We start from the raw sequence: 26,816 nt of genomic DNA on the forward strand, positions 1-26,816 counted from the left end.
ACAAATAACAAAACTATAAAAGGAACTGCTGTACTCCTACAGATGTTTTCATTCATTTGGACATAATAGTTTCTGAATTTAATTTTTATAAAAAGGAAAATATAGCCAAATTCTATAATTCTCAAAAGCTGTCAATAAAAATATATTGAAAACTTTTCAAGAGAAAATCAATTATACACATGATTTTTTTAATTAAAAAAATAAAAAATGTAGAAAGTAGAAATACTACAGGCATACCTGCTTTTGTTGCACTTTGCTTTATTGTGTTTTTTACAAATTGGAGGTGTATTTGTCTGTTCTCACACTGCTAATAAAGATATACCCAAGACTGGGTAATTTATGAAGAAGAAGAGTTGGCCGGGCACGGTGGCTCACACCTGTAATCCCAGCACTTTGGGAGACTGAGGCAGGTGGATCACGAGGTCAGGAGTTCGAGACCAGTCTGACCAACATGATGAAACCCTGTCTCTACTAAAAATACAAAAATTACCTGGGTGTGGTGGCGTGCACCTGTAATCTCAGCTACACAGAGGCTGAGGCAGGAAAATCGCTTGAGCCCTGGAGGCAGAGATTGCAGTGAGCTGAGATCACATCCCAACCCCAGTCCCCAGCCTCTCCCTCTCCTTGGGCCTCCCTATCCCCTGAGACACAGGGATATTGAAATTAGGCCAGTTAATAACCCTACAATGGCCTCTAGGTGTTCAAATGAAAGGAAGAGTCACACGTCTCTCACTTTAAATCAAAAGCTAGAAATGATTATGCCTAGTGAGGAAAGCATGTTCAAAAGCCCAGACAGTCTGAAAGCTAGGCTTCTTGTGCCGAGCCGTTAGCCAAGGTGTGTATGCAAAGGAAAAGTTCTTGAGGAAAATTAAAAGTGCTACTCTAGTGAATGCATAAGAAAGCTAATTAGCCTTAATGATGATATGGAGATACTTTTAGTGGTCTGGGTATAAGATCTAACCAGCTATAACATTCTCTTAAACTGAAGTTTATTCCAGAGCAAGGCGGAGCTCTCTTGGATTCTGTGAAGGCTGAGAGAGATGAAGAAGTTGCAGAAGAAAAGTTTGATGCTAGCAGAGTTCGGTTCATGAGGTTTAAGAAAAGAAGCCATCTCTATAACATAAAAGAAGTGCGAGATGAAGCAGCAAGTGCTGATGCAGAAGCTGCAGCAAGTTATCTGGAAGATCTAGCTGGGATTGTTGATGAAGGTGGCTATGCTGAACAACGGATTTTCCAGGTAGACAAAACAATCTTATATTGCAAGAAGATGCCATCTAAGACTTTCATAGGTAGAGAGGAGAAGTCAATGCATGGCTTCAAAGCTTCAAAGGACAGGCTGACTTTCTTGTAACTGGCTATTGCAGCTGGTGATTTTAAGTTGAAGCCAATGCTTATTTACTATTCTGAAAATCCTAGGGCCCTTAAGAATTACGCTAAATTTACTCTGCTTGTGCTCTATAAATGAAATAACAAAGCCTAGATGACAGCTCGTCTGTTTTCAGCATGGTTTATTGAACAGTTTCAGCACATTTTTGGGAGTATTGTTCAGAAGACGTGATTACTTTCAAAATATTATTACTATTGACAATGCACCTGGTCACTCAAGAAGTCTGATGAAGCTGTACAAGGAGATTAATGTTATTTTCACGCCTGCTAACACAACATTCATTCTGCAGCCCATGGATCAAGGAGTAGTTTTGATTTTCAAGTCATTTAAGAAATTTCATGGGGCTGTGGCTGCCATAGTGATTCCTCTGATAGACCTGGGCAAAGTAAATTGAAAACTTTATGGAAAGGATTCACCATTCTAGATCCCACTATGGACATTCACAATTCATGGGAGGATGTAAAAATATTGACATAACAGGAGTTTGGAAGAAGCTGATTCCAACCCTCATGGTTTACTTTGAAGGGTTTGAGACTTCAGTGGAGGAAATACCTGCAGATATGTTAGAAATAGCAAGAGAACTAGAATTAGAAGTGGAAACTGAAGATATGTCTGAATTGCTGTGTCTCATGATAAAACTTGAACGGATGAAGAGTTGCTTCATATGGATAAACAAAGTGGTCTTTGGAGATGGAATCTCTTCCTGGTGTAGATGCTGTGAACACTGTTAAAATATCAAGAAAGGATGTAGAATATTACATAAACTTAGTGGATAAAGCAGTGGCAAGGTTTGAGAGGATTTTTTTATTTTTTATTTTTTTGAGATGGAGTCTCGCTCTGTTGCCCAGGCTGGAGGGCAGTGATGCGATCTCAGCTCACTACAACCTCTGCCTCCCAGGTTCAAGCGATTCTGCCTCAGCCTCCTGAGTAGCTGGGACTCCAGGTGCGTGCCACTATGCCCAGCTAATTTTTGTAGTTTTAGTAGAGATGGGGTTTCACTATGTTGGCGAGGCTGGTCTCGAACTCCTGACCTCGTGATCTGCCTGCCTCGGCCTCCCAAAGTGCTGGGATTACAGGCTTGAGCCATCACGCTCGGCGATTTGAGATAATTGACTCCAATTCTGAAAGAAGTTTAACAGTGGGCAAAATGCTATGAAGCAGCATTACATGCTACAGAGAAATTGTGAAAGGAAGAGTCAACCTATGGTGCAAACTTCATTGTTGTCTATTTTAAGGAATTGTTACAGCCATCCCCACCTTCAGCAACCATCACCTTGATCAGTTAGCAGCCATCAACCCTGAGGTGAGACCCTCCTCCAGCAAAAAAGATTACAACTTGCTGAAGACTCAGGTGATTGCCAGCATTTTTTTTGCAATAAAGTATTTTTAAATTAAGATATGTACATTGTTTTGTTAAATATAATGCTATTGCACGCTTTATAGTATGAACATAACTTTTTTTTTTTTTTTGAGATGCAGTTCACTCTTGTTGCCCAGGCTGGAGTGCAATGGCACGATCTCGGCTCACTGCAACCTTCGCCTCCCAGGTTCAAGCGATCTCCTGTCTCAGCCTCCCGAGTAGTTGGGATTACAGGCGCATGCCACCACGCCTGGCTAATTTTTGTATTTTTAGTAGAGACAGGGTTTCATCATATTGGTCAGGCTGGTCTCGAACTCCTGACCTCAGGTGATCCGCCTGCCTTGGCTTCCTAAAGTGCTGGGATTACAGGCGTGAGCCACCGCTCCCGGCGAACATAACTTTTATATTTACTGGGAAACCAAACAATTCATGTGACTCACTTAATTTTGATATTCCCTTTAAGTGTCAGTGGTCTGGAACCAAACCCACAATGTCTCTGAAGTATCTCTATGTATTTCTACTTAGCTTGTTAAACAGCAAACAAGATGAGAATTTAGAATTTTAATTCCCAGGACCATTTTCTTTTAAATATAGGTCCATATCCATAATATATATTCCATAATATAAAGATAATGAAGAAAGATATTGTTGGAATTCTTCTAGTCTGTTTTAGGCTTATGGATAGATAAAAAGGTGCAATATTAGTTTTCTTCTCTCGGAAAAAAACCAGTATTTTCCAGAGGATTTCATGGTTCTAGAAGTACTACTTCTAAAGCCTGCTTCTCTCTGCAGAGCTGCGAATGTCTTTTCAGATAAGAAATTCTGCATTCCATTTATCTTCAGGATGTATCCTTTGATAAGATTTCAACAGATTAATGAGCAACTGAACTGCCATATTTTGAAGTGGGAGAACAGTTTGCCTGAGTCAGGTATCCATCCCTTTAGGTTCTCGATTGGCCCTTGGCCCACGGTGAGTGAGCTCTCTTTGCTTGGTGCATCATCGCTCCACCTAGTTCAAGTTCTGGCGGCTTCCTGATTTTGATTCTCTTGGGAAATGAGGCCTGCTTTAGCCTGAGGCTGGCTCAGGAAGGCAACCTTTCACCTACTTAAGGAAAAGTTCACAGGCAAACTAAACAATATGTTGGGTTAAAAAAAGAGACCAATCCTACTAGTACTGGGTGAGTGAAAATCTTCTCTCTTACAGTACATGTAGTTCTACTACCTGCACTGGATGCTTTCTTTCTTATCCTTGTTTAGTGTCTAAAACGAGAAACAATGGCAAACTCCTTAAAATACAGAACCACTGTGGATTCCTAAGAACGTTCAAAAACAATAATTTGGAGTAAACTTTATTTTTTGAAAAGAAATAGCAAATTTGCATGGTGAGTGCATTTAGAGGAAAACGGGTTATATGCTAGGTCAAGTGAGGCCAAAACAAGAGAAATGATAATGGATAAGCTTTGAGTTTTTGAGGCTCTTCTTGCCCCAGGCAGTTCCAAAAGCCATTTTATTTGGCAGGATTTGACAGCAATTTCTGCAAGAACGGGATAACTAATCCAGTTAAAAACGAAAAAGAATATGCATACTATTTCATAATTTATATTGAAATTTATACATTACAGCAATAATTGTGCGACTGTAATTTTTTTTTTTTTTTTTTTGGTGGAGGGGTGTTTTTTCCTGGAGGGACGGAGCTCCTGCAGACCCTATTGGGCTAGCCGCTCCTCCCACGTCGCTGCCGCAGATCCCCGCTCCCCTCCCCCACCCGCGGTCCGTCCCTCCTGGTCGACCCCGTTCCCGCCCCCGCCCCGCGCAGACTGCAGCCAGGTCCGGTCCGCGGCGGCTCCGCGGAATGACCCGTAGTAACCTCGCCCCGCCCCGGGCCGCCAGCGCCGCGCTCCCCGGCCCGAATTCGATAGGCCCAGCCCCGCACGCGCCACCGCTCGCGGGCCAATGGGTGGCAGCCTCTCTGCATAGGCAACGAGTGCCGGCCGGGGGTGAGCGTCCCAGGCGGTTCCGCTCAACAGACGCTGCTGTGGCTGCGCCGGGCTGCGACACTGCAGTTGTCTACGCGGCCGGGGCCGGGACGAGGAGGCGTTGGACGGGGTCGCATACGTTCGTCCCCTCGCATTGCGGCCCCGACAGCTGCGCCAGGATCCCCGGGCGGCGGCGCGGGGCGTGAACGCTCTGGGGCTCAGCCAGGCCTGCGCGGGCCCGAGGCCGGAGGAACCCGGACTCCGGCGTAGCGGTGAGTGCGGCGCCGGTTGTGGGAGCGGCGGGAGCCGGTTGGCGGCGCGGCCTCCGCGTGCGGTTCGGCTGGGCCCGAGGGGCTCCCCAGCCTCGGGGCCTGGGACCCTGTCGTCGGCGCCGCACCTGACCGCTGGGTGTGCGCGCGGGCGGCCCGCGGCACCAGGAGCAGCGGCGAGCAGGGTGGGAGGCGGCCCGCTGGGGTCCGGGAAGCGGCTGACGTGGGGCCTCGGCCCTGAGCCCACGCGAGCCGGGAGCTGCAGCGCGAACGGCGTGGGGCGGCGCTGACCAGGCAGGGAGGATGCACTGCGTGCCTCCCGGCGCTGTGGGGCGGGGTGGGGAGGCCACCCCCTTGAATTAAGAGGGCTCTGCCGCGGCCCCAGCAGTGCGGTGTCCGTGGAAGGAGACTCAGCCCTGCGATTTCGGAAAACCCTTGTTTGGCGGGGCGGGAGGGGCTGTTGCTGCGTGGGGTGAGAAGAAACTAGGTGCGTGAGGTGGGTCGACCTTGGTGATTGGTTCTGGGCACTATCGTGGTGGTGGGACTGGGATTAAGACTGTCGTTTGGGGTTTGAGAGTTGCAGCTTTGCTTTTCCCCAAGTGCGTTTTAATCATATACTGTTGATAGGTTGGGTAACTCGGGGACTGCTTACTACCAGCAGTCCTGTGGGGTAGGTGTTATCAGGCTCGTTTCACAGATGAGGAGCCCGAGGCACAGGTTTTCAAATGGTTTTCGCAGGAAGTCTGATACTAGAAAGTGTGCTCTAAGCTGCTGTATAAAAGATCCCTCGAAAATGAAAAGGCTGGAGGAATGTCTTTAAAATTATATGGAAGCTAGAAAGGCAGTAGGCTTTGTGAACGAAATTATAGCTGAAAAGAATGACAAATAGCTGACATTTATTGAGCTTTTATTACATGCCACGCACTGTTTGGAGAGCTTTATGTACAGTGTCTTCACACTGTTAACAGTCCTCTGGGGTGGGGGTTATTCCCATTTTACAGCGGGAGAAACTGCAGATTGGACGACTTAGCTTGCCTCAGATCTCAGCTAGTAAGAAGCTGGGATTCAGACAGGCCTGTGTAAATCCAGAGCTCTGAAATCTAAGCACTATATTTTGCTGCCTCTCCTTGGTGGCTGGCTGAATAGTTTCCACAGTGGATTTTAGTCTGGGTGGCCAGGAGAGTTGTAGTTTGATGATACCTTCTTTCATGTTTATCAACCTATTTTGTTTCCCCAAATTAGTTCTGAGAGTTAAGGGTGCTGATGAGTTGCTCCTGAAAGTGTATTAGAAGGGTATTATAGGGGACAGGTGGTGTGACATGGGAATCTTTTGCACAGACTTGATTTTGTTTTCTGGCATTTTTCTGGGCAGTTCCTCACACTTGGGGATGAGTAAGCCTTCTAATTGTCGCATGCGTTTTCTCTCTAGACTTTTCCTGGTTTCTCTTTTGTATAAAAATATTGGTTTTGTAGGATGACATTGGGTGTGGGGCAGAGTGGTCCATTGGACCTAAGGGTCAAGGTGACAAGTCACCTCGTATCTTTGGATCTCAGTTACTGAATTTGTAAGGCTTTAGACTCAGTGACTTAAAGCTTAAATATTCTGAGGGTCTAAAATGTTCTCCTTGAAGGAAGAAAGGAAGAATGGGAGAAATGAAGAACGCACAAATTATAAGGGGAAAATCATCCTCTGTCTGGTTTGGGGTGAGAATCAGATCTTAAAGCCTCGAGGTCTGTTTCATTTGCTTTTGTGTTTCCCTGCTGTTTGGTTCCAGTTAAGTGACTGTTTCATTCCTCATTTGATTAATTGACTCACCTAGAGCCATTTAATTTTTGTGATATGTCAGGCACCTTATTAGGTGCTGGGAATACAGCTGTGAATAGAGGGAAAAATAGACAAGAAGCAAATGGTCATACAAACGGATAGGTGGTTGCAAGTTTGATAGGTACGATGAAGGAAAAGTATTGTGTGAATGAGGATTATGAGCAAGATTGTGATGTAGATGGAAATCTAGTCTAGGGAGCTGTTTTTTGAATTGATGTGGTGAGATTTTGCTAGAGGACAGTCTTGAAATCTGAGCCTGCAATTATGTACATAATGCAAGAGTTTGGGAAGTTGTCAGCAACAATAATTCTTTTCATTGCACAGTGTATTTCATACTCAGAATGTCATCCCGGCTCTCATTGCAAGATACGAAAATGAGATAGGCAACTTTACAAGTTGTCATTCTGTCTGCCTTCAGGGTACTTAAAGCTTAAATAGTCCTCTAATACTTTCTCCCACTCAAAATGAACTGTAAGGGGGAGTAAGACTCTTTTATGTGAGATTTGGGCTTGAATATTGGATTTAGATTTTTTTTAGGAAAGCTAGGCCAAGGGTGATAGGCTTTTAAAACAACGAGCATCATAATGACTCAAAAGTATCCATTGTAGCATACGCTTCACAGGGTCATTTAACTTAAAAGTCTCATCATCTTAGGAGATCATTTTTTGATGGCTGGATTGGGAAATATAGATTGTTAAAAATATATAAATGTCTCAGTTGAACATGTATGAAGCCAATTCAAATAATACATTGCAATATATTTACTTAATGGCCATCTGCATGCAAAACACCGTCCTAGGGGTACCATGTGGCATAAATAAAAAAGATGAACTTGCCAAAGTTACTGCTTTCAAAGAGATTTCAGTTAATGTATACTAATACTCAAATTTAAGGTTTTTTTTTTTCAAAGTGCTAGCATATCTCATCTGATCCTTTTAAGAGCCATATATGATAAACAGAAATACTGAGAAAATGGAGATAAAAAATTGTCAGGATATGGTGATAAATAGTAAATGGAGTGGGAGAAAGAGGTGCTAAGTGATTACTAGGTTTCAGACCTATGCAACTAAAGAGGTATGTGTGCTATTCACTGAGCTGGGGCTTAACTGGTAGAGAACTAGGTTCTGGATATGGGAAGGGCATGACTTTAGTTTTGGAAGTGTTCAGCTGGAGCTGCCTTTGAGGCCTTTATTGAGGTACTGGTTTTGTGCTGAGAATTGGGGTGGCCATTTACCGTTTTGAAGACCTCCATGTAGAGGCAAGAGCTCAAACCATGGGTATGGGTGAGATTGCCTGTGGGGAGGCTATAGAATAAGAAGAGAAGGAGGCCTGGGATGGAGCTGGGCAGAGGAGGTTGAGCTTGTCAAGGAGACAAGAGTGGCCAGGAAGGTCAGAGGACAGCCAGAAACAGATGTTCCTGCAAGGCGATGAGTCAGTACTGTGGAATGCTCCTATGAGAGAAGAATTGAGAACCATCATTGAATTTAGCAACATGGAGGTCACTGGTGACCTTTGAAAGAGATGCTGATCTGCAGGTAGGGGTGGGATGGGGAGCAGTGGGAGGTGAGGAAAACGGAGACAGAAACTGTTTCCAATAGGTTTGATTTCAGCATGTTTAAATGCTGATGGGAAGGCTCAGTGGAGAGGGAGTGGTTGAATATAGACTAGAAAAGGGTTTGTGCAGAGTTCCTAAAAGGATGGGGTTGGGATGGGACCCAAAGTACAACTGAGGCCTGTGTCTTTGCTGGGAGGAGGGGACACCTTCCACAGTAACAGAATACAGGCCTGTAACCTATGGAGTACTAAGCAAATGCCAAAAATTGTCAAGAACTGTTAAATTTCTAAAAATTAGCCCAATTTTAGTTGACTCATGACAGTCTTTTAGAAAACTTTGTTGCAAGAGCATTGTGTGATTGATTTAAAATGTGGCTCAGTCTTAATTTCATCCCTCAATAGAGTATATATTTTCATCTGACTTTTGATTGTAATTTATTTATTTTCTGAAAAAGGAGACATTGTAAATGTTAAATCCTGTGGTGCCTTCCTTACATGTTTATTTTTGGTTTCATTAGAAAAAAGCTTTCAGACGGTTTCTGTTTTCCTGACATCATAGGTGCCTTAATTCTTTTAATTTAAAGTTTAGCTTCTGTTATTATTGGAATATGTTTATTTACGTATTTTTGATGTTTCCCATTTTGAAGGGTAAAGAATTGGATGATTCAGTAGTTTCAACTGATCTGCTAATTTTTGTTTAGAATTGAAGATACTTAAATAACCAACCTTTTGGATAAGTGGCCTCCAAATACAGCTTTCTGCTTGTTTGTGAAGGTATTTGTTATTAAGGATTCATTCATTCATGTATTTACTTAGTGTCTGTTTTGCAAGGTACTCGGAATTTGGAAATGATTGGGCGAGTTCCTGCTCTTAAGGAGCTCACAGTTCACCACAGGAAAGAGGTGTATGAACAAATTACAGCATGGTGGAACAGAAGAAGGTATATGAGCAAATATATTACAGGATGGTATAATCAGTGCAGCAGTGGAATCTGCTAGGAAATAGAGAAAAAGTGCAGAGCAGGCACAGAGTAGGGAAGGAAAAGGGGAGACTTCTCAGTGGAGATGATAGCTGAACTAGGTTTTCCAAGATGAACTGGAGTTTTCCCAGGTCAACAGGGAGCCAGGAAATAGAATGTTTTACCTTGATTTTGGATCCTCTGTGTGTGTGTGTGTGTGTGTGTGTGTGTGTACACAGATGTGTACGCATTGGAGATGTTATAACGCTACCAAAGAATATTGTTAGAAAAATTAAAAATTGCTTATCTTACTATCCTCATGTTGATTGCTCTAGCTGTGAAAAGCTGCACATTTTCCCCTGTCCTGTCATGGTCAACTTTTCTGTCTCCTATTTGATGCAGAAAGTAACTGAACTTAATTATATTATTTGGATACAAAGCCTAGTTTTTGTTTTTCTAAATGAATGGTCTTTGGAATAAGGATAATAGCCAACACCTTTATAGTATACTGTGGCCAAATGCTGTTCTAATTTTTATCTCAGCCTTGCAAAATAGGTACTTTTTTTTTTTTGAGACGGAGTCTCGCTCTGTCCCCCTGGCTGGAGTGCAGTGGCATGATCTCGGCTCACTGTAAGCTCCGCTTCCCGGGTTCACGCCATTCTCCTGCCTCAGCCTCCTGAGTAGCTGGGACTACAGGTGCCCACCACCATGCCCGGCTAATTTTTTGTATTTTCGGTAGAGATGGGGTTTCACCATGTTAGTCAGGATGGTCTTGATCTTCTGACCTTGTGATCCGCCCGCCTCGCCCTCCCAAAGTACTGGGATTACAGGCTGGGAGCTACTGCGCTGACTGCAAAATAGGTTCTTTTATCATTCTAATTTTTACAGCTGAGGAAACTGAAGCACAGAGCAATTTAAGTGACTTGCACGATTGTGTGCTAAATGTGTGCTGGATTTCATCCCAGGCACTTTGGTTCCAGAGTCCCTGTTCTTAACCTGGGCGCTGCATCTCCTCTCTGGAGTGACAGTTTGAAGTTCATGTTAACCTTTGAAGGCATGATTGTGTAGGGAAAGGAGCTGTGATGACATTTAGGGGCAGTTTTATGTCTGTTTTAATTACACAAAGTTGCTGCCCCAAATAAAACTGCCCTGCCCCCCCCGCCCCCCCCCCCCCCCCCCCCCCCCGCCCCGGGGAAATCATAAGGAAATTGAGAGAATTTAACTAGAATTTTCTTTTTTTTCTTTTTCTTTTTTTTTTTTGAGACAGAGTCTTGCTCTGTCACCTATGCTGGAGTGCAGTGGTGTGATCTCTGCTCACTGCAACCTCCGCCTCCCGGGTTCAAGCAATTCTCCTGCCGCAGCCTCCCGAGGAGCTGGAATTACAAGTACCCACCACCACACTCGGCTAATTTTTGTATTTTTGGTAGAGATGGGGTTTCACCATGTTGGCCAGGCTGGTCTCTAACTCCTGACCTCGTGATCTGCCCATCTCAGCCTCCCAAAGTACTGGGATTGCAGATGTGAACCACCATGCCCGGCCTAGAATTTTCTTTTTGGACTTGAACATAATTCCTCAGGATGCTTTCCCCTTTAACCTTACTTCGCAGGAATTGTTATTGACTTTTTAGATTGGAATATAAAGGAATTTGGGATCCCATAGTCTGCTAATTCCATTTTCTTTTCCTGTCTTTTAACTAAAATATTGACGCACTTTCTGTATGTTTGAAAAATATTTCATAAAATTTAATCCACTTAAAGAAACCCACTCCTTTCCCCCAAATCTTACAGCTAACCACTGCTCTGAATTTGGTGTTTATTATTCCTATGTATTTCTGTACAGCTTTATTACACATGTGTGTTTCCTTAGACAGTGTATAGTATTGTTTTGTGTATTCTTAAACTTTATATAGATGGTACTGCATGTATTCTTGTTCAGCATACTGTTTATTTTATCCCCACTCAAAATCACTTAGCAGTGTGGTTTCATGAATTGAGTTTCAACTCAATTCATCAGTGTGGGTTCATGTAGATTTAGGTCATTTATTTTTACTGTGACAAGTTAGTACATTTTAGGTCTATACCATATTTATTTCCCCTTTGCTCTCTTGATAGACTTTTAGGCTGTTTCCATTTTTTTTGTTATTACAAACATTATTACCGTTAAGTATTATTGAACACAAGTCTTTGTTTTAATTTTTGACACTGTAGTTAACCTGTGCTCCTTTTTCTCTGTTCTTCACATTTTTGTCTCGGCCTTCCTCTAATCGTTTCATTATTTGAGCTAAGGTACCATTCTTTGTCCATTATACTTAACAGTACAAAACTGTAATGGGCACTTTTCCTCGAAGGCTCTTTTTAGTAATCTTTACTTTAGTTAACTTTCTTTGCTTTTTTTTTTTTTAAATAAAAATATCTTAAAATATAGAAATATCTTGAACATATTTTACAGATATATATTATTTTACTTGTAATTCCATGCATGACTGCAGGGATAATTCACGTGTACCCTTTCTCTTGGGAAACGTTTCTGTGTTGATGTACATTTGATTTAGCTAATTCTGTATTTTAGTGTTTGTTTCCTTTAAATATTTTCCTCTAAATGTAGTGCACTTTTTTCATTGCAGTTTGGTGGGTAGGAACATGAGCTCAGAGTTAAGATTGCTTGGATTGGAATCCGGGCTCTACTTTTTAGCTGTGTGTCTTTGGGCAGCGTATTTAATTTCTATGTCTCAATTTCTTCATCTGTAAAATGGAGATAATAGAAATCTACCCGTAGATTGTTGTGAGATTCAAATGAGGTGTCTGGCATAGTCATTACTCAATACATATTAGCTATTTTTATTAGTTTTATTTTTTGTTAGAGTATGCAGTATTTTCTAAGCCTACTCAGTTTGTGGTGTTGCCTTCTTTTTTGAAGCAGCATTTTAACACAGACATCTATGCCTCAAGGAAATGTGTGATGTTTTATAACTGTTAGTGGAGATTGGGAAGAGATACTGTAAACTGTAGCAAACCATAAGTTGAGGTACATTAACTAGATTGTTATATTTTAATATCAATAATTTAGGATTTGGTTGGGCATGGTGGCTTATGCCTTTAATCCCAGCACTTTGGGAGGCCGAGGAGGGCGGATCACCTGAGGTCAGGAGTTTGAGTCCAGCCTGGCCAATGTGGCATGAGTCCAGCCTGGCCAATGTGGTGAAATCCCGTCTCTACTAAAAATACAAATTAGCTGGGTGTGGTAGCGGGTGCCTGTAATCCCAGCTACTTGGGAGGCTGAGACAGGAGAATTGCTTGAACCTGGGAAGTGGAGGTTGCAGTGAGCCAAGATCATGCCATTGCACTCCAGCCTGGGCAACAGAGGGAGACGCTGTCTCAAAAAAAAAAAAAAAATTAGGATTTATCGTGTTTCAATTTTTTTGAAATACGTATAAAGCACTTTGAAAGTGAGTTGACATGGTGAAATTCTCAGATAATTACCAAGGGTCTACTCTTGTTAGTTTTAAATACCTTTTGTAATATGACCCTGATAATGATTCAGATGGTGTTTCTAAGTATATTATCCTATGTCATCAACCTTGTGTTGTTCAGTGGAGAAGGAACCATTGCCATCCATGTATGTAAAGCTTCATAGGTAAATTTGAGCGAGTGACTTAACCTTTCTCAGCCTTCCATTTCAATTTCTGTAACATAAAGATTTCAATTCTTACCTCACAAGGTTATCATGACTTATGTTAGTTGCTTCCTTCATCTCTCTGGCTCCCCTGTCTTCTCTTGTAACTTCCTTTTTTTCTGTTTTCCCTATGTATATTCTTTCTTCCTCTTTATCCCTTCTCTGCCCTTCACAAGTAGTTTTTTGGTAAATGGTAACAAGACATTCTGAACCAGTGTGTGAGTGAACCCATTATATTAATAAAAATACACATTATTTAAAGGGGACTAGGAAATGTTAATTCTGTAAGGACAAGAGGATTTAGGCCATATGAAGTTACAGAGGAGATGCTGTAAATGTTAAATGAGCAGTATAAAGGACAGAGAGGTCATGTTTTGCCACAGTAGCCAGGGAATGGTCAGCTGAGCAAAATGAGACTAATGTTAGATTTGAAGAAAGATTTGTGAGGAAGGTATTCACATAGGATGTCCAGTGGGCAGTGGAGTTTGGAAGATTGGCAAATAAAACTGAGCCATCAACTGCTTGGGAGGACTCAGGAAGCTGTGAGGATAAATCACATCCCATGGGGAAGAAAGGCACATGGACTTGGAGGACAAAAGCAATTAAGACCTAGCGTAACCTCTTTATTTATTGATTAAACTCTGAAAGTAGTTGTTGAATGAATTAAACCTTCTAGGAATAGAAAGGGAGAACTAGCAGCTAGCAAATGGAGAGAATTGAGTGGCTCTGAGTTGTTGCAGGAGGAGCTTTGAAGGTCTGGCCCGAGTTGTTTGTAACCCTGCCGTTGAGACTGGTGGTGTGGCATTGTCTGTGCCATTTAGTCTGACTGGACTTCTGGTTTTTTTTTTTTTTTGGTCTGTAATCCTTTCTTGCTTTTGGGGGATGGAGAGGGATCTGCTTCATCACTGTTCTTTTTACCTCCTTTTCCCCCTCCTTTACTTGACTCAGGATTTTTGTTACCTGTGCCATATTTATTTCTTAGGTGTCTTTGACTTTATCAGTTAGCTTTGTGCATTTCCCCATGTATTCATTGATGTGTTTACTACCTGGAATTTAATGGGGTGTTTGCATGAGTCTCTTCCTCTTTTGACATCTCAATAAGCAAGATTCTCATGGAAACCATCTCAGAGGCAGTGGGCAGTAAATAGATGGAGTGAAAGATGAGGCAGAACTGTTTCTCTGCATTCTATATTGAGATGTACAATTGTTTAACAAATAATTACAAAAGAAAATGAGTGCCATGAGAGAGTGCCCTAAGGGGTCAGCGGATGGGTAGAGAAGTTCAGGCTGGGGCTAGGGCCAGTGGAGGTTTGGGTATCAGAGAATGCCTAATCAATTTAGATGCTAAGAGATAACTAGGCTTTGAATGTATGCAGAAGAATAAAGGACATTCCAGGTAGAGCTAACAGGGCAAAATGAGCAAAGGCAGAGAAGACAGGTAAGGGAGACAAAGAAGTGGATGGAATTGATTTGTTTGTAGTGTGCGAAGTAGAGAGTTGGAAGGTGAGAGTTGAAAAGTAAGCTGACTTCAAGTTGTGGAGAGTCTTAAGTACTTGGCAGACGAGTTTGGAATTGTTTTTTATTCCTTCTTTTTTTTCCCCTTTTGGACAATGAGGAGGGAATTGAGATTCTTGAAGAGAGGATTGATGTGAAATACGGGTTATAAGGGAGTGGCAACGTCACACTGGCAACATGAATGAAGGATGCATTGATGGAGGAGGGGGAGAGGGGACTAGAGACAGAGGAATAGTTAAGGATACAGTTGAATTCTGCCAGGTGACAGGAGTAAGGACCTGAACTGATAAAGTAACACGTGAGAAAGGGCAGGAGGCAGGGGATGACAGAGGAAGCAGAACCATCGGGACTTGGCAACTGACTGGATCTTTGCAGGGCAAGGGAAGGGAACATTACCAAATGCTTTTTAAGTTTTGAGTAAGTTCTAGAAATGGGAAGAGTCAGCTTTCCATTTGAGTTGGGAAAGGTGAAAGCAGAGTGACAGTAGAAGATGTGGAAAGGAGAATTCAGTTAAAAAAATTTATTTTTAAAAATGCGAAGTGGGATAGCTGGGATCTCCTCAAAGAAAGCCAGATGAGGGGTCATCTGGGTAGGCGATGGTGAGATCAGGGAGTGGCGGAAAGTGAACAAAGTTCTGGGCTTAGATGTTTATAGAATGAGGTGAGAAGTCAGTGAAAGATGTGTAAAGTGCTTATCACTAGGGGCCCAGTAGGCATTGTCTAGGGAGGCCTCAGCTAAGGCTGGGTCTCACAAACATGTGGCATTGGTCCTGGCTGTATAACTCTCCAGCTGGCAGCCTTGTGAGTAGGAGTGAAGAAAATGCAGTGAATCTGCAGGGAGCGGTTGTGTTTTAGAGCTCTAGGATAGCAAGTGCTCGGGAGTCCTCCAGGAAGGACATGGTTGTCACAGAAACATTGGTTCCTGGGACTAGGCTTTCAGGGGACAAGAGAAGACACAAGGGAGTTGGTGGCCAAGATGGAGTGGGAGAGCAGGTCTAGTGGGTGAGGGGTTGTGGGGTTACTAACAGCCTATTCTCATTCTGTTAATTTTTAAGGCTTGAATTAGTTTTCTAATGATAGGAGTCTTGTTGCTTTGGGACCACAGATGTGAATGTTATTATTATTATTTTTGCTTCTCTGCTTTATCTGTGGCATTACTGCTCTTGTGGCATTCCCCCCCACCCCCGACTCCCTTGTTTTTGGTGAACATAATAGTCACCGTAAAAAAGATGTATAATTCTAGGGAAAAACTTAAGTAGGGCAAATGCTCAACAGGGAAAAGTTCATAATTTAGAATACAGGTGTGCCTAAGGTTATAAAATAGATAATAGTACTAAGACAATTAATTTTTTGTTTTATTTTGAGACGGAGTTTCGCTCTTGTTGCTCAGGCTGGAGTGCAGTGGCACGATCTTGGCTCACTGCAATCTCCGTCTCCTGGGTTCAAGTGATTCTCCTGCCTCAGCCTCTCGAGTAGCTGGGATTACAGGTGCCCACCACCACGCCCGGCTAATTTTTTGTATTTTTAGTAGAGACAGGGTTTTACCATGTTGGCCAGGCTGGTCTTGAACTCCTGACCTCAGGTGATCCTCCTGCCTCGGTCTTCCAAACTGCTGGGATTACAGGTGCTCCTGGCCGACAGTTACATATTTTTTATAGAAAGAAAGTAAAAGTATCTTAGGAAAATTTAAATAAATTATTATTCTTAACATCTGTCATCCATCCATCTGTTTGTCTATCGGTGTGATGGATGCTCCCACCAGGTACTTTGCTAGTGGACACCAAGGATAGAATGATGAATAAGACAAATACGGCCCTTCCCTGGTGCATAGAGTGGGAAGGTGAACATTAAGCAGTTCCACAGTAATTATTTAATTACAGTTGCAGTAGGTCCTGTGAAGGCAAAGTTGTGGGGTGCCGAGGGTGGGGAACCAGAGTAGGCTGTCTTGAGAGGCTTCTCTGAGGAAGTGGCATCCAACTGATCTAGGAGAAGGGGGATGGTAGTGGGGCGGTGTGGTGGTGGGGCAACTGGGCCGCTTTCTAGGCAGAGGCTTGAAGCAATGTGGGGTGGGGTGGGATGGTGACTTGGCTTTGGGGAAAATCCACAAGAAGGGCAGGAGTTTGTGCAGAGGTCTTCTGAGATGAAGCTGGATGCAAAAATAAATGGGCCACAGCATGCATGAGACAGAAATAAAAATAAAGCCGTCTCTTAGAAGCAATCCATTGAGAGTAGACTGGGAAGATGAGGGAACTTGGAGGCTTGACTGTGCCAACTAGTTAGCAATATCTGTATCAAGTCAGTATGCTTCTTTGGTCCTCAGTTACTACAAAAAGTTTAAATTTTATTATTACAAAATTTGCAAACAGTTAACTTTTTATGATTTGAATTTTATGATTAGCAATGTTACAGTTTACCAAAATTATCTTCAGCAGTATTAAAACATCTATAAATATATATAACAATATACCTGACCATATATTATGTTGATTTTGGTATTGTTCGCCTATTAAGGCCAATGGGAAACTTTTCAGCTAGATTGGATATTATTTCATAATTCCATAGAGTTGTATGTTTTGAACAGAAATATTTTTAGTGTCTTCTCTAAGTTTACTATTCAATTTCTTGTTTAAAAGATCATAAATTGACCTAGTGTTTCAGGCATGTCAATACTGTTGCTATATAAATTTGTAGAAATTATAATGAATTTATATATTTGCTTTAAGTTTTTCTTCTAAGAATGTGTGTTTGATGAGAAAGTTTGGAAAATACGTAAAAGCATAAATTCTACATTCTAGATATAGCCAGTGCTGAGGTGCTTTCGGTCCTGATACCTGTTTGTGTGTATGTTAACAAAAGTGGAAATATATTGTGTGTAAATATTTAACCTACTTCTCATTTATCATATCATGAGCAATTCCCATGTTATTGAATGTTTTTGAAAATATTTTTAGTGGTTGTATAATAATCTACTATATGTACATAATGTACTTTACCATTTCCCAATTATTAGATTTGCATATTTTCATTACCCATTATTATAAATAGCAAATGGAAGTTCTCAAGTAAATTTGTTTTTCTTCATTAAATATTCACAGAAGTGGAATTGTTTGGTCAAAAGGTATGAAAAATTTAAAGGCTCTTAATAAAAATTACAATTGCTTCCCAGAGAGGTTGTACTTATATATCTGTGCCCTTTAGTTTGAGTGTGTCTTTCCATTGCACCTGTACTTGGATTTATTTTTTTATTTTTATTTTTTTTTGAGACGGAGTCTCACTCTGTCACCCAGGCTGGAGTGCAGTGACGTGATCTTGGCTCACTGCAACCTCCATCTCCCGGATTCAGGTGATTCTCAATGCCTCAGCCTCCCGAGTAGCTGGGATTACAGGTGCGCACCACCACACCCGGCTCATTTTTTTGTATTTTTAGTAGAGACCAGGCTTCACTATGTTGGCCAGACTGGTCTTGAACTCCTGACCTCAGGTGATCCGTCTGCCTCGGTCTCCCAAGGTGCTGGGATTACAGGCGTGGGCCACTGTGCCCGGCCTTGTACTTCCATTTATATATTGAAAACCAGAAGAGAGATGTTGTTTCATATGAATAATATTTTGTATAATTAAAAAAATTTCTTGGCTGGGCACAGTGGCTAACGTCTATAATCCCAGGACTTCGGGAGGCTGAGGAGGAAGGATCACTTGCACCCAGGAGTTTGAGACCAGCCTGGGCAGTATAGGGAGACTTGGTCTCTATAAAAATAATAAAAAATACTAACTGAGTTGGGTGCTGTGGTTCCGGCTGCTTGGGAGGATTATTTGAGCCTGGGAGTTCAAGGCTGCAGTGAAAACTGTGATCAAGCCACTGCACTCCAACATGTGACAGAGCAAGAGACCCTGTCTGAAAAAAAAAAAAATTAGCAACCCGAGTATTTATTTTAGTTAAACCAGTCTTAATCTAGACCTGATTTAAATAAAAAGCAATAATTTTGCTTATTGGATATATCCTGCTGAAGGATTTGGAGAAAGAATAGAAATTTTATAGATTTACAGTTTTTAAATTACATTGGCTCACTACTGTAATCCCAGTACTCAGGAGGCAGAGATGGGAGGATTGCTTGAGGCCAGGAGTTTTGAGACAGCCTGGGCAACATAGTGATAACCCGTCTCTACCAACAAAAAAAAAAGATATAAAAGTAAAAATAGAATTGAAGAATTAAAAATCTTCATTTATGTGAAAATTTGAATGGAGAGGTGAAGTTAGGAATAATTGTAAAAATTTAGCTTTTGATTTACTTTTTTTTGCGTTGTGTATAACCTGCTAATGTTAAGGATAATATATACAAAGTGATCAGAACAGTGCCTGGCACGTATTAAATGCTCAGTAAATGTACCTATTGTTATTGTTACTTTAAAAATGTCTCCTTCCAGCTCTCTGAAGATTAGCTCATATAATACAGTGTCTCTCAAAGTTTTTATCACTGATAAAACTTTATCACTGATCTTATCACTGATAAAATCAAGAAGATTGGGGACGGAAGGAATGGGATTTTTGTTTTTGAATAAAAACCTTTGGAGTGGTGGGTTGGAGGGAGGAATCTCATATCTATTCGTCATGATTCAGATCAGGATAATAATGAGTTGATCTGTGTAGTGCCAGTTGAAATCTTGATTTTTATTCAATGAAATAAAAAAATTCATTGGTTTGGCTTTTCACTGATTGATTTATATCCCATTCTGTATTCCTTTTGGTTCCTGGAAAAGAATAGGAATAATTTCTGTAAATTTGACCTTATTGGTATTAACTTTCATATGGCAATTTTAGAAAGAAGTGCCTATGGAAGATGACTTATTGGTGAGGCTTCTTTCCTCTTTAATTGCATGACGTTATAGCGCAGAAATGATCACATCTATGAACCTAGATGGCCTTACTGATTGCTGCTTGACGGGTTGTTGAATGAGCTGATATTGACCAGAGTTTCTACCCCTCCTCCCCTCCCCTTTTGGGTTGTCCAGTTCAGTGTCATAAGCACAGACATAATTCCTTAGCTTATTGCTGGGTTTTTTTTGATGATGTTTCTTTTTGTTTTTCCCTGTTTTAAAATTTTATTCATAAAATCAGCCAACATTTATTGAACATATACTAGGTAATACTTTGTAGGTTTCTTGGGATTCATATTTCAAAGATGCATCATTAGAGTGTTTACCTCGTTGAAGTAGATAGAAAGTAAAACAGTAAACATACAATCCATAGTTAAAAGTGCTAATGTAGATGTATGTGCAAAGTGTTTTGGGTTCTTAGAGGACTGCAAGTAGATATTAGAAGACTTCATAAAAGAGGTGACATTTGAGCTAGAGTTTGGACTGTTTCACCAGTATAAAAGTATTGGGATTAATAAGCAGGGGAAGGAGCAATAGTGTGTGATTTGTAAATCATAGGAGCAGCTTTGATTCTGGTACCCATTCCCTACCCTCATGTGGGATAGCTTTTCTCAACAGATGTTTGAGCAAGAGCTAGTTATTGCTTTATGGTTTTTTTTGTTGTTGTTGTTTGTTTGTTTTTTTGTTTTTTTTTGAGACAGAATCTCAGTCCTAGGCTGAAGTGCCATGGCACAATCATGGCTCACTGCAGCCTCAACTTCCCCAGCTCAAGTGATCCTCCTACCTCAGCCTCCCAAGTAGCTGGGACTACAGGCGTGTGCCACCATGGCCAGCCAATTAAAAACATTTTTTTTTGTAGACACTAGATCTATTTTGTCCAGGCTGGTCTTGAACGCCTGGACTCAGGCATTCCTCCTGCCTCAGTTACCCAAACTGTTGGGATTACAGGCATGAGCAACCATACCTGGTCCTACTTTATGACTTTAAAATATTTTCTTTATGCCTATTTAAATTATAGAATATAAAATAGTATTTATAAAAGTATACATTTATTCATACCCGCTATGTATCACATACTCGGCTAGATTCTAGGAAAGCAGAGAAAAAAAAAAAGTCCTTGCTTCAAGAAGCTCACAGTCTGTTGTGGGGAGACAGAAAAGCAAAGTTAAAATACAGTTGTAATAAGTTACGTTAATGGTATGCCTGAAGTGTTTTGGAAGCTCATAGGAAGGACATCTAACCCAGCCTTGATGGAGGAGGGGAGATAAACGATGGAGGTAAAAATAGATGGAGAGAGTTCATTGAAAATCTATATTCCTTTACTTCTGGATAGAGCATAGTTTTTCTGAGTTAGGAGGGGATTGGAGATGGGACCCAGGGGACATACCAAGCATAAAGGCATGGGACAAGAACACACATGGGGAATGCTTGGGGAACTGAAAGGGTGTGTTACAGGATAAGTCAATTAACAGTAGAGATCAGGCAGGGGGAGGCCTGATAGATTGAGAAAGATGGTGGAGAGCTCAAGGGGATTGGAGTTCTGGATGAGGTCAAAGGATTGAAGTGAAAGAGTTGGTGGAATAGGACTGGTTATGGTTAAGAGTAGTTTTGGAGTTTTGTACTTGAGAGATGGTTTTGTACTTAGATTGTTTAGAGGGTGTTTTTTAAAAGTTAGTTTTGTGATTTTCCTTGTAATGAAGAGGTGGAGCAGATGATAGCCCAGATGGAAAGTTCCATGAGGGCAGGATCAGTTGAATACTCAGGGCCTGTTTATGTAAATCTGAACTTTGGTATTGAGAATGAAAAGCATAGCACATTCGTAGATTTACTTTTTTGGTGAGAAACATCTATATTGGCATTTGTTGTTTTTATTAGATACTAACCTCAGTGACGGCTACATATACACTTATACCTTTATAAATACCTAGTTCAGAAATGATTTTGTAGGCATGTAACAGTTTCTGTTCTTTGCATTGATGTTTCTGGGGAGAATGGTGGACATAGTGTAAAACTGGCATATGTAATGCCTATATATTATATACTACATCATGTGTTAGATTACATGCTAGAAATTTGGATGGAACACTACCCAGAATTGTGAGTCACTATTTGGGAATTGCCCTTGATGCATGGATAATTTACCCGTAGACAATTGGGAGCTGTGTATTTAAGTTAATAAAATTTCTTTGTATTACATGATGCCAGAGTACAGGCATGTTAATTATAGGTGATCACAGTTTTTGTTTCTTGTTATTAATTTCAAATAGCTTTATGAAATAATTATATTTGCTGTCTTTCTTAGATAAGTCAAGAACATAATGTGTTTCTTTTGAGCTCCTTCAGGGAGAGTAAGTTTAATTTATTCTTCCACTAGAAAGAAAGATACTGTGCTTTATTCACTGCTGCACACCCAGTGCCCAGCGTATAGGAGACACTCACATTTGTTGAATGAATGAATCAGTCTCTGCATCCCTGCCACCTAGCACAGTAATGGACATGAGATACTGAGTAAGCATTTATTAAATTGAGTTGAAAGATTTGAATATATTACCAGAAAATTTTTGGAAGGCCAAAAATCTCATATCAGAATGACCAGTATATACTTATTAATGGAAGCTCAGGAATTCCTGAAGAATAGCTTTTCTGTTGGTAAATATGTACTAACTGGTTGAGTAATATATGCTAATGTAATTTAAAAAATTATGTGATTGTGAAGGCAGGAAAGCGATGGATTGTTTCAGGCCAGGCCCACTGCTTGCTGTACTTTAATGTCATTGCTGCTTATCGCCTTCTCTGCAGCCTTGTTGACACTCCTGACAACAAGTGTTTGTCTTTGGCTTCTAGGGCACTGTTTCCTGTTCCTTTACCTTTCTTGTTGGTTCTTCTGGCATCTGCCCTTAATCCTTTATCCTACAATTGAATATACTGTTTCTGAGGAATTCTGTGTTCTATGAATAGAGTCAATGATGACTGTGACCTCTGCATCTTCAGCTGTTTGGAGCCCCAGCCCTGTATTTCTAACAATATAGTGAATCTCTCTTCTGGTCTTTCCCACAAACTTAACATCCAGCCCTATATTTATGCGCTCATATTTGTGTCTGTTCTTCTTGTATTCCTCGTTACACGCCACCATTCTTTCATTCTGGAAATGTAGACTTTAATTTTCAGAGCCCTTACTCTATACATCCTACCTGACAGGTCCTACTAATTTTACCTCAGAGAAGCCTGTACAGTTGGTCCTGTTTCTTCTGTGTCTACTGCCTTAAATTCTGCACTTCATCACTTGGGCTGTGGTAATAACCACATACCTGGAATCCCTTTCGGTTTATTTTCTGTGTTGACCCAAGTAATCATTCTTAAAAAAAACAACAACACACATTTAGGACTGGGAACAGTGACTCACACCTGTAATTTCGACACTTTGGGAGGCCAAGGCGGGTGGATCACCTGAGGTCAGGAGTTCAAGACTATCCTGGTCAACATGGGTGAAACCCTGTCTCTACAAAAAATACCAAAATTAGCCGGGCATGGTGGCGGGCGCTTGTAATCCCAGCTACGTGGGAGGCTGAGGCAGGAGAATTGCTGGAACCCAGGAGGTGGAGATTGCAGTGAGCCTAGATGGTGCCACTATACTCCAGCCTGGGGGACAGAGCGAGACTGTCTCAAAAAAATAAAATAAAATAAAAAACAAATTTAGTTAAATGCTTTACTTGAAAACCGATCTCATGCTATCTACAACATTTTCATTGCTAACTCCCCCCATATATTTCCTGTGTTCCAGCGATCTCAGGCTACTTGTGATTACTCACTGTATGCTCACCCATGCCTCCCTGTTAGGCAGGAGTGAAGGAGGAATAAGAGCCTGGAGGGATTTATTCAGCTTTGTCTGTGGGTAATTATACTCATCCTGCATCTTGAAAGATGAGTTTATTTTGACAGTCCTCTTAGCTGCTTCTGTCTCTCTCCAATTCCATACCCCATTCCAAGTTTTGGACAGAAGAGTATGATTGGACCAGCACATTCATGTTTTTGATACAGGCTTCACTGGTCACAGGTCTGCTGGATACCTGTGGATGCACACATTTGCCGTAGTCTGCGGTGTTGGAGATGGGGACAGAACAGTATCACATATGTGAAACAGAGCCAGTGCTTCCCTTCCCAACAGTCGTAGGCCAGGCAATGTGGACTGTGGGTTGACATCACTGGAGACTGTTTCAGAATCAGAATAAAGACCAATAATAAACCTTTTTTTTTTTTTTCTATTTATGGAATATGGGAGCTGTGGAAGAGAGGTATTACTAGGCTGGTTGTTTGCTTCAGGGATCTGCTTCTCATCTTTCCAGGACTTAATTCAGCTACTACCTCTGTTAAAATTTTTCTTTGATGCTGTGCAACTTACTGAATAAGATTTTACCTGCTGATCTGTGATGTCACTATTGCCATATACAAAAGTCCCATGACTATTTCTGGTTTTAAAATTCTGTATTAACAATTCGTGTTTTGATATGGAATAGGGCAAATATGCATTAAATATGCTGTTTCTCAAAGTTTTTTCTTCTAGATAAATGTTAGAATTAATATATCACATAAGCATACAAAACAAACACGTAAGAAAAATCCTAGTAGGATTTTCATTGGGATTGCATTTGGTTTATGGGTTAATTTTGGCAGAATTACATTTATCCTTTCTACTCAGGAGCAAGTCTGTCTTTTCATATATTCAGGGTTTTTTTGTGTGTGTCTATCAGTAGCATTTTACATACACAGACACCCATATGTAAATATGAATGTTATATTACATGAAGTATTTTAAACTTGCGTTTGCTATTGTGACTATATTTCCGTTTCAATTTCTAACTGGTGATTAATAATATATAAAAAAACTGTCAATTTTTGGCCGGGCGCGGTGGCTCATGCCTGTAATCCCAGCACTTTGGGAGGCCAAGGTGGGCGGATCACGAGATCAGGAGATCAAGACCATCCTGGCTAACACGGTGAAACCCTGTCTCTACTAAAAATAAAAAAAAAATTAGCCAGGCGTGGTGGTGGGTGCCTGGAGTCCCAGCTACTCAGGAGGCTGAGACAGGAGAATGGCGTGAACCCGGGAGGCGGAGCTTACAGTGAGCAGAGTTCACGCCACTGCACTCCAGCCTGGGTGACAGAGCGAGACTCTGTCTCCCAAAAAAAAAAAAAACAAAAAAAAACCTGTCTATTTTTATTATTTACTTGGTATCGAAGTATTTTTGTGAATTCTCCCTCTGGTTGGATATTTTTCAAATGATTCCTTCAGATTTTCTTGTCAGGCAGGCACTTATCTGCACACAATAATGATTCTGTCTTTTTCAGTATTCATAACTGTCGTTTATTTTTTCATTGCATTGGCTAAAGTGCAGTGCTGTTCAGAAGACATGCCTTGAGAGCCGTAAATGTAAGCCATATATGTAGTTTTACATTTCTAGTAGGCAATTGATTTCATTACATTGTTTAATGTAATATATTCAAAATCTTATTTCAGTGTATATGTTCAATATAAAATTTATTAATTAACTATTTTATGTTCTTTTTTTACTACTAGGTCTTTGGAATCCCATGTGTATTTTACACTTAGATCACATCTCAGTTTGGACTAGCCACGTTTCAGGTGTGCAGTGGCACTTGCGGTTACCGCATTGGACAGCATAGAGTTAGAGCCTTCTTGATATATAATAATTATGATCATAGTTGGCCTTGTTGTCCCTTACTTGGTTGGAATTTGCTTTTCAGTATGATGTTTAATGTTGATTTCTAATAAATATACTGTTTTTAAGTTTAAGCAATTTTGTTTCTGAATAAGATGTTCCTTTAAAACTTAGTAATTGATATTCACTCCCCGCCCCACCCCTGAGATGGAGTTTCACTCTTGTCGCCCAGGCTGGAGTGCAATGGTGCGATCTTGGTTTACTGCAACCTCCGCTTCCCGGGTTCAAGCGATTCTCCTGCCTCACCCTCCTAAGTAGCTGGGATTACAGGCATGCGCCACCACCCCTAGCTAATTTTGTATTTTTAGTAGAGATGGGGTTTCACCATGTTGGCTAGGCTGGTCATGAACTGACGTCAGGTGGTCCACCTGCCCAAAGTGCTGGGATTATAGGTGTGAGCCATTGCGCCCGGCCTCACTTTTCTTAAATACTTAAGAAAATGTATGGTGATGCTCACACCTTTCCCCTCCTACTTATGCCTGTTAAATATAGAGGATGGTAGTAATAAAGAATTCTCATGGTGAAGCATCTTTTCACTCAGAGTAAACAAACCATGCTTGGTTATGGTGTATCATTCTTTTAACTCAACTGGATTAGATGTGCTGACATTTTAGGATTTTTTCCCTCATATTCTTTAAAGAGATTGTCCTATGTGGTATGTCACGTTTTGGAATCAGCATTATATCAGCTCTTGTAAACTAGGTAACAAAACTTCAGATCATTCTGGCTTAACAAAATTGTTTTAAAACTTAAAGGAATATATGCACATGATTGAGGACTTTTTAAAGTAATTTCTTAGCAAAATGTATTTGTGGAATGTAAATTTTCTAAGTCCTTGAAAGTCTGAAAATTTCTTTATTCTACTTGCAATTGATTGGGAAATTAGCTGAGAGTAGAATTCTAGGTTAAAACTTTCCCTTAAAACTTTTAAGGCCTTGTTCATAGTTGCCTACCTTCCTGTGTTTCTGAGACATCTGATGCCATTATGATTCTTACTTCTTTATAACAGCGATCTCCAAGCTTTTTGGCACTAGGGACCCAGTTTCGTGGAAGACAGTTTTTCCATGGACAGGGGTCGAGGAGGCAGTGGGGTGGGGGATAGTTTTGGGATGAAACTGCTCCACCTCAGATCATCAGGCATTAGATTCTCATAAGGAGCGGACAATCTAGAACCCTTGCATGCCGAATTCCTGCTCCTGTGAGAATCTGATGCAGCTGCTGTTCTGACAGGAGGCAGAGCTCAGGCGGTAATACTTGCTCACCTGCTGTTGCCTACCTGCTGTCAGGTCTGTGGCCTGGGGGTTGAGAATTCCTGCCTTACAGGAAGGGTGACCATATATCCTGATTTGTCTGGAATACCTCCAGATCACTGTTTTTTTTTTTTTTTTTTTGAAGACAGATTCTCGCTCTGTCGCCCAGGCTGGCTGGAGTGCAGTGGCATGATCTTGGCTTACTGCAAGCTCTGCCTCCTGGCTTCAAGTGATTCCGCTGCCTCAGCCTCCTGAGTAGCTGGGATTACAGGCAGATGCCACCATGCCTGGCTAATTTTTGGTATTTTTAGTAGCAATGGGGTTTCGCTGTGTTAGCCAGGATGGGCTCGAATCTCCTGACCTTGTGATCTGCCTGCCTTGGCTTTCCAAAGTGCTGGGATTACAGGCATGAGCCACCACACCTGGCCCAAATCACACTT

The 26,816-nt window shown here is 41.2% G+C and overlaps 1 protein-coding gene across 4 annotated transcripts in view, besides 5 other annotated features; it reads left to right on the plus strand.

Moving 5' to 3' along the window:
* Window positions 4,488–4,782: an enhancer, noted in NCBI's record as "tiled region #9896; HepG2 Activating DNase matched - State 1:Tss, and K562 Activating DNase unmatched - State 1:Tss". NCBI's record gives its function as "activates a minimal TATA promoter and a strong SV40 promoter by Sharpr-MPRA in HepG2 and K562 cells {active_cell/tissue: HepG2 | K562}" and the evidence as "EXISTENCE:reporter gene assay evidence [ECO:0000049][PMID:27701403]".
* Window positions 4,488–4,828: a biological region, named in NCBI's record as "Sharpr-MPRA regulatory region 9896".
* Window positions 4,499–4,828: a silencer, noted in NCBI's record as "silent region_12373". NCBI's record gives its function as "represses an Ori minimal core promoter by ATAC-STARR-seq in GM12878 lymphoblastoid cells {active_cell/tissue: GM12878}" and the evidence as "EXISTENCE:reporter gene assay evidence [ECO:0000049][PMID:35858748]".
* ACSL3 (acyl-CoA synthetase long chain family member 3) overlaps window positions 4,773–26,816 on the plus strand; it is an 83,604-nt gene continuing 61,560 nt past the window's right edge. For all 4 annotated transcript variants that reach the window (NM_004457.5, NM_203372.3, NM_001354158.2 and 1 more), the window contains exon 1: window positions 4,773–4,995. The gene's annotated coding sequence lies outside the window, so the exon portion shown is untranslated. The remainder of the gene's footprint in view (window positions 4,996–26,816) is intronic.
* Window positions 4,899–5,268: a silencer, noted in NCBI's record as "silent region_12374". NCBI's record gives its function as "represses an Ori minimal core promoter by ATAC-STARR-seq in GM12878 lymphoblastoid cells {active_cell/tissue: GM12878}" and the evidence as "EXISTENCE:reporter gene assay evidence [ECO:0000049][PMID:35858748]".
* Window positions 10,009–10,510: an enhancer, noted in NCBI's record as "NANOG hESC enhancer chr2:223730990-223731491 (GRCh37/hg19 assembly coordinates)". NCBI's record gives its function as "activates a minimal SCP1, AML or CMV promoter by ChIP-STARR-seq in primed H9 embryonic stem cells {active_cell/tissue: H9 hESC(primed)}" and the evidence as "EXISTENCE:reporter gene assay evidence [ECO:0000049][PMID:30033119]".

Source organism: Homo sapiens, chromosome 2 (assembly GCF_000001405.40).
Source record: "Homo sapiens chromosome 2, GRCh38.p14 Primary Assembly".
Taxonomy (NCBI): domain Eukaryota; kingdom Metazoa; phylum Chordata; class Mammalia; order Primates; family Hominidae; genus Homo; species Homo sapiens.